Here is a 12,628-nt window from a genome sequence, read left to right as displayed (position 1 = left end):
TCACTTGAGCCCAGGAAGTTGAGGCAGCAGTGAGCCATGATTTTGCCACTGCACTCTATCCTGGGTTACAGAACGAGACCCTGTCTCAGAAGAAAAGAAAAAAAAATCAGCCAGGCTCATGGCTCACCCCTGTAATCCTAGCAACATGGGAGGCTTAAGGCTGAAGGAGCACACGAGGCCAAGAGTTCCAGATCAGCCTGGACAATATAGAAAGACTCCATCTTTAAAATGATTATTTTAAAAGTTTAATATTTTAAAACTTAAAAAATCAAAAAACTTAAGCCAGGCATGGTGGTGCACACCTGCAGTTCCAGCAACTTGGAAGGCTGAGATGGCAGGTTGCAGTGAGCTATGATCATACTGTACTCTAGTCTGGGCTGTGGAGTGAGGCCCTGTCTCAAAAAAAAAAAAAAAAAAAAGAAAGAAAGAAAGAAAAGAAAAGAAAAAAAAGCTTTGCAAAGAATCCATAGTCAACCTAATCTGGGGCTATTCTTTACATAATGGCTTGTGTGGAAGCAAACTTAAAAATAAATGTTTTTATAATCAGACTATTCTGGATATTTATCACTAATGTTTGCTTAAAAGTGTTTTATATCTTCATATGCTCAAACAGAAAAAAGAGAGAGAAAAGAGAAACAAAGAAAGAAAAAAGATGAGAAAAAAGCACATTTTCCACGTCTCCAGGGAAGAACACTTAGCCACTGAGCACTTAACACTGGGGTACTAGAGCACCATAAGTTTAAAGAATCAAATAGATCAGTCACTTCACTTGATAACACACAGAAACCATTGAGATCCACTTAATGCTAGAGCCTGAGCCAACACTGCTGTTTAAGAACTAAGAAAGCCCAGACAGGCTGCATTTCAGTCCCTGTAGAAACATCTAGGATATGTCAGGAACAGCCAAGAGTGGCACCAAGATAAAATATGACAGTAGCGACTGCCAGCTTCAGCAGGCACAATTCATACTGAGTCCAAAGCTCTATCCTCACACAGACTAGCTCTGCAGAGGCACACTCCTCTTAGAGCACAACAGGCAAAGTCATAGCTAGCTCTGAGTCATCCAAATGCTTCAACATGACTATCCTACGGTTCCTTCATCCAGAAACCAAATCTGACCAGTACACACTTAGAGAAGTCCAGAAAGCCAATTTTCCCAACTATATTTAAGAAAGTCTGTCTGCTCCATGCTTCCTTGTTTTCTCAGCAGAATATCTCATTCTCTTACTTGCAGAGATAAAGACAGAGTGGAGGCTCTCCCTTCCTCCATCTAACCAAACAAAATTCAACTCATATTGGGGTGAATGAGATGTTATGCCTAATGGGAAGAAAAAGAAGAGGAAAAAACTGCATTCAATTACCAGACAAGCTAGGTTAGTGTACTTTAGAACGGCACCCCAACATCAAGGACAAGCAAACTGAATGCACTAATACCTGGTACACCTGTTGAGTGCTAGGAATACAAAACCACAATGGTCTGATTCACTGAACCCAAGGATGGCACAGTCCAGGAACTGCGAGGAAGAAGCAAGGAGGTTTGGGACAGTCTGACAAATAGCAAATTTGAAGAAGGGAGTAGGAATGGATTTGAGCCCTCAAGGAAAGGTGAGCTGTCTGAGGCAGAGTTGGGAGGGCACTCCTGGCAGGGACAGGCACAATGGGAGCAAAGTCCCAAAGGAGGGACTCTGCAGGGTATGTTGCACAACAGTGGGAAGGGCAGTTGGTCTGCATTGGAGAGCTAGTGAAAGAAGCCTCGAGAGATAATGCTGAAGATAGGCTGAACCAGATTATAGGAACCTTGGAACGGAGGCTCAGACTTTATCCTGTTGACCACGAGAGACTTCCAAGCAGGGAGGTGACATAAACATAAGCAAGGAGGTGACAAAAACAATGAGTTTTAGCAATAAGCAATGGAGATTTCTCTCTTCAGTTAATTTATCCCAACTGTGGGTCCTTTTGTCAAACCCAGACAAACCAGAATCTATGTCTGGTGAAATAAGTGTTCAGAATTATATCCTGGAGCAGTTTCCCTAACACCTAGGCCCTGGAAATGCAATCCAAATATTTTACACACACACACACACACACACACACACACACAATTTCCACCCATATTTCCATATACATATATATATACACACACACACATATACGCATATATACATATATATGTATATACATATATACATATATGTGTGTGTATACGTGTGTGTGTGTGTGTATATATATATATACGTATATATATGTATATATAGTTTTTTTTTTGAGATCGGGTCTCACAGTATCACCCAGGCTGGAGTGCAGTGTCGTGATGGGGGCTCGGTGCACCCTCAACCTCCCAGGCTCAAGCTATCCTCCCACCTCAGCCTCCTCAGTAGCTAGAACCACAGGCACAGGCGACCATGCCCGGCTAAATTTTTTTCGTATTTATTGTAAAGACCCGTTTGCCATGTTGCTATGCTAGTTTTGAACTCCTGGGCTCAAGCAATCCTCCTGCCTCTGCCACCCAAATTGTTGGGATTACAGACGTGAGCCATCGCACCTGGCCCAAATATTTTTCTTGACTGATAAGTGACACAGTAAACTGACTCCAGAACATAAAAACAAAATATTAAAAACAATTATACTTGCTCCTAGGACTATGGCAATAAAAACCACATTTTTGAAACATGTTTGCATTAATTACCCTCAACTGAATAGTTTTGAAAAGAGCTTTTAATCCTGATAAAATTAGAGTTGATAACATTTCTGTAGTGATTGGGCATTGTAAATATGCTTTCATCTAGGGGCCAGGTGAGGTGGCTCATGACTGTAATCCCAACACTTTGGGAGGCCGAGGCAGGCGGATCACCTGAGGTCAGGAGTTTGAGACCAGCCTGGCCCAGATGGCGAAACCTGGTTTCTACTAAAAATACAAAAATTAGTCAGGTGTAGTGATGCAAGCCCGTAATCCCAGCTACTCGGGGAGGGGGGCTGAGACAGGAGAATTGCTGGAACCTAGAGGTGGAGCTTGCAGTGAGCCGAGATTGCGCCACTGCACTCCGGCCTGGGCGACAGAGTGAGACTCCCTCGTCAGTCCGTCTCAAAAACAAACAAACCAAAAAAAAAAAAAAAAAGAGCCCTGAGGCAGAAGCAACATCTCTACCCATTTCTGAGATGCAGCTAAGGGAGAGACTAAGATTCTAAAAGCAACTTAAGAGCAAAAAAGAAAATGTCTTTTGAATTGAGGGAAAACAAAAAATAATAAATATATAAAGGATCACAACCTAAGAATAATATAGTAAATATGAGACTGTTAAAAAACAAAACAAACAACAACAAAAAACCCTGACTCCTGGCTACAGAGTTGAAAAGCCCCTAGACACGTTGAGTAGCTCTTAATTGAGACTGCACTTCATTAACCAGTGAGGTGAGGAAAAACAGGACCTCAGTAAGGGAGTAAAGTCAAAGACTAAATTACAAACAGGCCAAATGAATGGATCTGAGAGGAAGTGATAAAATTCGCAACACACTCAGCCGTGTTTATTGTAGGGAATCACCCCAGGTCTAACTGCCATTGTAATCACCCCGTTCAGGGCAGAAGTCTTCCCACAGGCCCTCAATAACTTCAATCCTTGATAAAAAGCCAAAGGAGCCTGACTTTCCACCTGGGTCAAAATCCCCGCACATCTATTGTTTCGGAGCCAAAGCACCACCACCAGCAACCCCTGCGCACAACCCGGGGCTCTCCAGCACCGCTGTTCTGAATGCCAAGTGCCCAGCACGGGGTCTGGCACAGTTTCCTTAATAAAATGTCCTCTTCTCGTCTCCAGGATGAAACTCAGGATCCGGAAGGCAGCCTTACACCCTCTCCAGACAGGCTCCGTTAGGGGATGAGTGCGCACAAACAGCCCCAGGGGCCAGCCACCCCCTTCCCGTGCCACAACTTCCTGTCCCTTCCATCACTTCCACGCCACGACTCTAGTTTCCATCCAGCTCACAACTGTCATCAAGATCCCAGTCTCTGGAGGAAAGGGGGCAGGGCGGCTTTCCACCCTCAACTCCTCACTTAAGGGGCGTCTGAGAAGAACCTACGAAAGCGGGGGGCAGAAAGCACTGGGACAATGAGCACCAGTCCATGTGCCGACCCGGGCTGGTCACCTACTCCCAGGTGAAACCCACGCTGGGCGCACCGGGGCGAGCCACAGAGCTGCGGCCCCAAAAGAGCAGCAGGCGCGCCCCCCTCGCGTTGACATTTCCCTGGTGTGAAGTGCCGGAGATTGGGATGCAAGAGCGGGATTACGGTCCCGAAGCTCAGCTGCACTTGGAAGCACTCGGAGTCCCCAAACCCTGGGCGACTTCCCCATCGGCGCTCCCTGGAGAGGACTCCTACCGTCCCCGGCTCCCAGAGCTGCGCAGCCGGGCCGAGCCCCCGGCCAGGGTCCTCCGCCGGGCTCTGCGCAAACCTGGCAGGGCCGCTGTCCGCGAACTTGGCCGCGTGGGTCGGGCCGGGACAAGGTGGGGCGCGCACTCACCAACCCCGTACTTCTGCCTCTTGGTCGGGATCCAGCGGGCCATGGCGGCGACCTCGCCCCGCGGCGGCGGCGACTAAGGCTGCTACAGCTCCTCGGGCTCCGGCCGCCGCCGCCCCGCGCTCCTGCGTGCCCCAGACGCTTCCGCCATGTTCCGCCAAACTTCGCTGGACTCCGCGGGCCGCCTCCTCGCCGCGCCGCCCGCGCCCGTGCCCGTGCCCGCGCCGCCCGCGGTCACCTGCTGGGCCGGGCTGCAGCGCAGCAGTGCGCGCCCCTCCTGGCGCCGCCCCAGTCCCTCCCGCCGGCCGCACCCTCCGCCCGCCGGGGCCGCCTCCGAGCCGCGGGCGCCCGGCCTCTCCCGCCCGCGCCGCTCTCTGCGCTCTGCCGGGCGGGGGCCGACTGCGGCTCCGCCTCGCGCGCTTCCCTGGAGCGGCTTCCTGGGCCGGCGGGACTTTGACGCTGGCGGCACTTTGCCTTTCTCCCGCCCTCCCCACCCGGCTGATACCCCGGAGGCTGGGTCCCGGGGGTCCGGCTCCCGACAGAGGGCTGCGCTGGAGGAGCCGGGCACGCCCAGGCCGGGCGGCCGGTGGGCGAGGGATGCGGGCTGCGCTCCCACGGCGCGCGCCGGACACTTGGGGAGCGGAAACGGATCAGCGAGAGCGGCTTCTTGCTCGGGGCACCTCCGGTGCCTGGCACTAAGCGGGCGCGCAATAAATATTTGTTGAATGAATGAGCAGTTGACTTCTGCCTTCACCCCCTGGAGCTTGAACCCGCGCCGCGAGCGGGAGAAGCCGGACTCAGGGCAGACTGAATCTCCCGGGGCCACCGCTTAGAGCCTGGAAAGCAGAACTTTTATCACCGGAGAGCTGGTGCAAGGGAGGTGGGCTCCTCAGAAGTATCAGACCGTTTGCTAGGGGATCCTCTGCAGGGAAATTGTTTAGAAAGCCCTAATTTGGAAGTCCTGTATCCCCAAACTCCGGGGACCCCCCAACCTTAAGCTGAAGAAACTTAGACCCTCATGCCCAGACCTCCCTTTCCCAACCAGCCAGCAGCCCAGAGAGCATTCCCGTGGAGAAAGGGCCAAGGCGCATCCCCGTCTTTTCTCCGTCAACGACTGCCTTTTCTTGACGAAGATCCCAAAGGGGCTGCGCATTTGAACCGCCTTGGGCTCCAGGTGGCGCCCTCTCTGGAGCTCCCCTCTTGGAATTCATTTCTTCCTGGAGAGACTTGGAGAATGAAGATCCAGGGGTTTCTCCCTACCTTGTACCGAGAAGTAACATTGCAAGTAGAGTAAATGACCAGCTTAATTACGTTCACCTTCGAAGAAGATTCCTCTAGAGAGAAATTATATCCTCCTTGCAGCCTGTGAAGGTTTTCATGCGTTTTAGGAATATAAAAGAAAGGAAGACAAACATGTAGTAAAGATAGTAAAGACAGGTAGTTGGCCAGGCGTGGTGGCTCATGCCTGTAATCTCAGCACTTTGGGAGGCCGAGGCGGGTGGATCACCTGAGGTCACGAGTTCCAGACCAGCCTGGCCAACATGGTGAAACCCCTTCTCTACTAAAATACAAAAGTTAGCCAGACGTGCTGGTGTGCTCATGTAATCCCAGCTACCCAGGAGGCTGAGGCAGGAGAATCGCTGGAACCCGGGAGGCAGAGGCTATAAGTGAGCCGAGATCGCGCCACTGCACTCCAGCCTGGGCAACAGGGCAAAACTCCGTCTAAAAAAAAAAAAAAAAAAAAAAGACAGTAAAGATAGATAGGCAAACAAGGTAACAAGATAGTAAAGTTTCATTGGAGAATTAGTGCATTTTAACTTTGGTGGTTTTTTACCAAACGAGGTCTGAAATTTTTTTTAAGTCCTATTCACGGTGGGTAACTACTAGAGCTGGCTTTTTTTTTCTCCATCAACCAATAGGTATTTATTCACAATGTTTAACAATAATTTAAGAAATTCCTCTGTCACTTTAGACTTGACATCCAGAAAGAATTCCACCATCTTCCCTAAAATAATTTATCTTCCTCCATTAGTATATCATGATTCTAATTTCCCAGGTTAGGTAATTTCTTCTTCCTTCTTCACACACATATTAAATGCCTACACGTTAAGTGCCAGGCATCACTCTAAGAATGAGGGTGCAGCGGTGAATACAGTAGAATGTGTCCCTTCACAGAGCTTCTAGTCTAGACGGGGAGAGTAAGACAGTAAAGAAATGTACACCAAACGAGAGTAAACATTAGAGAAAAATCCAAAGCAGGGAGGATAGGGCGTGTAGGGTGCTGCTGTTTTTATGGAGTGGTCTGGGAATGCAGCTCTGCTAAGCTGAGGTTGAGGTGTAGACCTGAAGGAAGTGAAGATTCCGGGAGAAAGTATTCTGGAAAAGAGGAACAGCAAAGGCAAAGGACACCAAGCGTGTTTGGCAGGTTCCCAGGTCACCCAGAGATCCTAGGTAATGAGAGCTGAGTAACAGGTGAGAGGAAACTTGGTCTAAGAGGCAGAGGAATGCCAGATAGAGCAGAACCCTGGCAGGCATATGGACTTTATATATTACTACTACAAGCGAGGTTTGGAGGGCTTTGAGCCAACCTGGAACATATTGAACTTGCCTGCTGTGGTATGAATCCATTGTAAAGGGGCAAGGGAGGCCCACATGGATGGATGTTGGGGGCTATTTCAGTCATTCAGGCAAGACATGAAGGTAGTTGGGTCCAGGAGGATAAGGATGGAGGTGAAAAAGATGTTGGGTTCTTGACATACGTGAAAATAGAGCCTGGCCAGATGTGGTGGCTCACACCTGTAATCCCAGCATTTTGGGAGGCTGAGGTGGGAGGATTGCTTAAGGTCAGGAGTTCAAAATCAGCCTGGACAACATAGTGAGACCCTCCTCTACTATATATATATCCTGGGCATGGTGGCTGTGCCTGTGGCCCTATCTACTCAGGAGACTGAGGTGGGAGGATTGCTTGAGCCCAGGAGGTCGAGGCTAGCAGTGAGCTATGATTGCATCACAGCATGAAAAAGAACCAAGAGGAGGGCCACATGAACGGCAGGGGGATCTACTACTGTGAGGCTTCAATCTTTTTTGGAAAGTTTTCCCCCAGAAAGAGATATGCTTGTATTTTTCTTTTTTTTTTTAAAGAGCCCTACCCGTATCGTACACCCTTCAGGCCCCACACACCTTGGTTCTTGTCCCTGCATGTGAGATACAAGCTGGGTCAAGAATGACTCTAAAGCCAGCTAGGTCGCACATGCCTGTAGTCCCAGCTGCTAGGGAGGCTGAGGCAAGAGGATTGCTTGAGCCCAGGAGTTCCAGGCTGCAGTGAGCTATGCTGATCAGGTGTCTGCACTAAGTTCCGCATCAATATAGTGACATCCTGGGAGCAGGCGACCACCAGGTTGCCTAAGGAGGGGTGAACTGGTCCAGGTCAGAAATGGAGCGGGTCAATTATTTGGAAAGCCCTAATTTGGAAGTCCTATATCCCAAAACTTCGGTACTCCTCCTTAGCTGAAGAAATTCAGGCCCACATATCCAGGGGGAAATCTACCCCAAGACCTCCCTTTTCCAACCAGCCAGCAGCCCAGAGAGCATCCCTGTGTAGAAAGCAACTGGATGCATCCTTGTCTTTTCTCTGTCACTGACTGCATTATTGACAAAGATCCCGTAGCCGGGACTTCACATTTGAACTGCCTCAGGCTCCAGGTGGCACCCTCTCTTGAGCTCCCCTTCTGATCAATAATGGGATGGCACCTGTGAATTGGCACTGCATTTCAGCTTGGACAACATAGCAAGACCCTGTCTCTAAACAAATATTAATTCAAAACAAAAAGAGTGACTCTAAGGTTTGGGGCTTGAATAGCAAGGGAGTAGAGTTGCCATTGTCTTGGTCACCATTTATATCTATCTTGTCTTCACCCTTTCCTGTCCCAGTTGCTCTGTATCAAAGTTTTCCTTTCAATATTTCTTTAGGACCCACTTCTTCACGCCTTCCTCAGCAACTTCTCCATGTGGCCCCTTAGGAGCTAAAGCGCTCTGCACTGGATTATATGACTTGCCTGTTGTGGACTCAGGGCTTCTCAAAGTTACATGAATTCTCCGTGCTTAGGGAAATTGGATGACCTCTGTTCTCTGACCAAAGGTATATTTCAAATGTACCATACATCAGAATGTTAATGCTCTTATCCAGTGGAACTGGGTTTCTACCAAAGCGATTTCAACTGCCTCATCCCACTTTTGCATTGAAGTCTTCTTCTTCCAAAACTAGAGGTTTGAATTTGGGTGCCAGAGATTTCAAATTTGACAATGGCTTTAAGAGAGTTGGAGGAAAATGGAAAATTTTAATTACAGCTTTCAGTATGTTTATCATTTCCTTTTGAAAACTGAAATCCACTCACTTTGCTATATCAGATGGCTAAATCCTAGTGTGAATGTCCTTTTAAATCATAAAAGCAGAGCTTTTCAAAGTCTTTTATTAGAATGAGGCTTAAAATTAGACAGTTAACCAGACAGGCAGTTGGAATGACAGCGTGATGCCCAGAAATACCCTTTTTTTTTCCTCTGATATCTTTTCAGAAGAAACATTAAGCATATTCCACAGAGATCTTCAGACTCCAAAACCCACACAAATACAAACACACTTAAGCACGCACAGACACTCACAGGCTCTGCTTGAAGGAGCCATGGAGAAAGAAATGAGGGTAAGTGGCTTTGAGGGTTAGTTTGACATGAGTATTGTGACTAACCCTTACAATGCCTTAGAGAATAAATGGACAGGATGTGAAGAGAACTGGCAAGAGCCTCACCTCCCTGTTGATTACCAGGCTTGTTTTTGCCAAATCAGGCTGGTCTGATGGCTTCTCTATGAGATGCTGTGGAGTCGTTTAAAGTGTCTTTTTTCTCTCTCTCTCTAGATAAAAGAAGATTATTCTGTGATCCTATACGAGTCAGTGGCTAATGGAACTACCAAAAAAATGATAACAATGCAAATAATGTAATTGGTTCTAAGCAGTGCTTTGCAGGCTCCTAAGGATGGTTCTAAGTAAGCCAGGAGTAGGTGATACATTGTAATTCTGGGACCCATGAGCTTAGCAGGACAAAGGAAACCATGAATCACCCTAGTCCCAGAAGTACCTTTTCATAGGCCCCAGGGATTCCAACATCATTATTCACTCTCCACTCTGCAAGTGACTTAGGTCGTGAGCATCTCTGAGTCTGCACAGGCTCTGCCATGTGGCTGTGGGGGTCCGGCTTCTCTGATGGATGGGAAGATAATGCTCGGGGCTCCAATGCTATTATCTCCTCATCTCTGTCACAAGGAGATTTATACTTATGATTTACCCTTTTCATGAACATGGGAAAATTCTTTTTTCTAGTGTTGTTTCTGGAATGTTCTTTGCTGTGTCTAAATGAGCTGATTCCACTGTTGGGAGAGGTGGATGATGTGAGCAGTAAGAAGGCATTAGTTTCTTGAAAACTAGATCCATATTTAGGTGAGATGAAATCAAACTACCTGATTTTAAAAAAAACAAACTATGTTTATTTACCGTATGTCTTGATTCCTATATACATTGAAAAATTATATTCATAAAACTGTTTAAAATAAGAGATGATGGGCTGGACGCAGTGGCTCATGCCTGTAATCTCAGCACTTTGGGAGGCCAAGGCGGGCAGATCACTTGGGCCCAGGAGTTCGAGACCAGGCTGGGCAACACGGCAAAACCCTGTTTCTACAAAAAATGCAAAAATTACCAGGGTGTGGTGGTGTGTGTCTGTAGTATCAGCTACTCAGGAAGCTGAGGTAGGAGGATTCCTTGAGCCCAGGAGGTGGAGGTTACAGTGAGCTGATGTGGCACCATTGCATTCCAGCCTAGGTGACAGGGGGACCCTGTTCCCCCTGCCAAAAAAAAAAAAAAAAAAAAAAAAGAACAAAAAGAGAGATGATGAAAACTTAGAAGAAATGTGGAAAATGTATAATGTAGGCATAAATGAAAATAATTAGATTGTCTATGCCGCAAAATGATTGTAGCTATAGAAAGTCATAGATTTACAGGGAAAATGACCATAGAAGAACATGAATAAATGACAAATTTTATTCAACCTTCTTCAAAACAAAATAAAGAAAAATACTTGATTGCTGAAGTCTCTGGGCTATGTAGCAAGAGTAGGAAGTTATTTGCCTAAATCTGATCATTTTTTGTGACAAGAGTGAAGTTTCACTCTTCAGTTCCTTGGGCACACGGACACTATGACTATCTTGTTTAGACGACTGTCATATTCAGCAGATTTTTCTTCCTGTTTGTGGTCAGTTAAGAAAACAAGCATTTAATCCAGAACTTGTATTTAATACCAGAACGATTTTATTTTTTCACAGCCACCAACTGTAAAGTAACAATAATAACTGCGTATGAAGTAATGAGTACTGGCTCCAAATCACCTTGTTTAATCCCCATACAACCTAATGAGGTAAATATAACTCTCCGGTCATTCCCACCTCACAAATGTGGCTTAGGAGGTGTCCAGAAATTACCTACATAATTAATTAGTGGCAAAATAAAATCCAGACCCAGACAGCCTGACTCCAGGGTCCATGCTCTAAAGCAGAGGTCTGCAAGCTTTTGCTATAAAGGCCCCACTATGGATAGTTCCCAGGCTTTGCAGGCCATATGGCCTTGTTGCAACCACTCAACTCTGCAGTTGTAGCAGGGAAGCCTCTATGAGCAATACATACAATGAATTGAGTGTGGTTGTGTCCCAGTAAAACTTCATTAGTTGTGTTAGATCAAGTTTAGACTAAACCTGCCTCCTTACATATTTTAAGTTCAGCCTAAAGGTTTCTCTGTACATAGCGAACTATAATCTCAATGGAAGTGTAAACAGACCAAAACCTATTCTTGTGCCAATCACTGAGTTTTGGCCAATCAGAGGAGGCAAACTGTTAAAACTGTCTTCAAATAAGGTAAACGCCCAGCTGCTGAGCTGTAACCAATCCGCCTGTTTCTGTACCCCATTTCCGTTTTCTGTACCTCATTTCTGTTTTCTGTACATCACTTTCCTTCTTCTGTTATAAATCGTCTTCCACCACGTGGCTGCACTGGAGTTGCTGAGCCTACCCCGGCTCAGGAGGCTGCCTGATTCTCAAGTCGTTCTTTGCTCAATTAAAGTATGTTAAATTTAATTTGGCTATGGTCTTTCTTTTAACAGTAGATTTGAAATTTGAATTTCATGTATTTTTATGCATATGAAATATTATTCTGGCCAGGTGCAGTGGCTCACCCCTGTAATCCCAGCAGTTTGAATGGCCGAAGTGGGCAGATTGCTAAAGTCCAGGAGTTCAAGACCAGCCTGGGCAACATGAAGAAATCCTGTCACTACAAAAAACACAAAAATTAGATGTGTGTTGGCACACACATGTTGTTCCAGCTACTCAAGAGGCTGAGGTGAAAGGATCACTTGAGCCTGGGGAGGTTGACCTTGTAGTGAGCTGCGATTGTTGTGCCACTGCACTCTAGCCTGGGCGATAAGAGTGATACCTTATCTTAAAAAAAGGAAAGGAAAGAAAAGAAAAGGAAAGGAAAGAAAAGAAATATTATTGTTTATCCTTCTTTTGATGTTTTTCTTTATCATTTAAAAATGTAAAAAACATTCTTATCTTGGCCAGGCGTGGTGGCTCACCCCTGTAATGCCAGCACTTTGGGAGGCTGAGGCGGGCGGATCACGAGGTCAGAAGATCGAGACCATTCTGGCTAATATGGTGAAACCCCGTCTCTACTAAAAATACAAAAATTAGCTGTGTGTAATGGCATGTGCCTGTGGTCCCAGCTACTCAGGAGGCTGAGGCAGGAGAATGGCTTGAATCTGGGAGGCAGAGGTTGCCGTGAGCAGAGGTCACACCACTGCACTCCAGCCTGGTGACAGAGCGAGACTGTCTCAAAAAAAAAAAAAAAAATTCTTATCTTTATCTTATCTTTATCTTGCAGGCTGCGCAGGAGCAGGTGGTGAGGCAGAGTTGGCTCTTGGGCCTTAGTTTGCCAATCCCTGCTCTACACTATGACTGTCACCCCTTTAGGTGGGTGGGAAGGCTGGGGGCCTCCAGAAGGAGCAGCATAACTAAGGAAGCA

General features: G+C 46.8%; 1 protein-coding gene and 1 long non-coding RNA gene across 3 annotated transcripts in view, besides 3 other annotated features; one reads left to right on the top strand and one right to left on the bottom strand.

Moving 5' to 3' along the window:
- DOCK5 (dedicator of cytokinesis 5) overlaps positions 1-4,777 on the bottom strand; it is a 231,023-nt gene extending 226,246 nt beyond the window's left edge. For both annotated transcript variants that reach the window (NM_024940.8, NM_001322810.2), the window contains exon 1: positions 4,515-4,777. In NM_024940.8, the coding sequence (NP_079216.4) occupies positions 4,515-4,557 (43 nt within the window). In that variant the 5' untranslated portion in view covers positions 4,558-4,777. The remainder of the gene's footprint in view (positions 1-4,514) is intronic.
- Positions 4,480-4,529: a silencer, noted in NCBI's record as "silent region_19033". NCBI's record gives its function as "represses an Ori minimal core promoter by ATAC-STARR-seq in GM12878 lymphoblastoid cells {active_cell/tissue: GM12878}" and the evidence as "EXISTENCE:reporter gene assay evidence [ECO:0000049][PMID:35858748]".
- Positions 4,700-4,869: a silencer, noted in NCBI's record as "silent region_19032". NCBI's record gives its function as "represses an Ori minimal core promoter by ATAC-STARR-seq in GM12878 lymphoblastoid cells {active_cell/tissue: GM12878}" and the evidence as "EXISTENCE:reporter gene assay evidence [ECO:0000049][PMID:35858748]".
- Positions 4,880-4,959: a silencer, noted in NCBI's record as "silent region_19031". NCBI's record gives its function as "represses an Ori minimal core promoter by ATAC-STARR-seq in GM12878 lymphoblastoid cells {active_cell/tissue: GM12878}" and the evidence as "EXISTENCE:reporter gene assay evidence [ECO:0000049][PMID:35858748]".
- Positions 5,089-11,685, top strand: LOC124901912 (uncharacterized). The gene is made up of 2 exons (XR_007060861.1): positions 5,089-8,649; positions 9,422-11,685. It is a non-coding gene; the product is annotated as an uncharacterized LOC124901912 (long non-coding RNA).
- The last annotated feature ends 943 nt before the right edge of the window (positions 11,686-12,628 follow it).

The sequence above is a fragment of the Homo sapiens genome, chromosome 8, assembly GCF_000001405.40.
Source record: "Homo sapiens chromosome 8, GRCh38.p14 Primary Assembly".
Taxonomy (NCBI): Eukaryota; Metazoa; Chordata; class Mammalia; order Primates; family Hominidae; genus Homo; species Homo sapiens.
The sequence above is the reverse complement of the archived record's forward strand: the minus strand, read 5'-3'. Positions and strand labels throughout refer to the sequence as shown.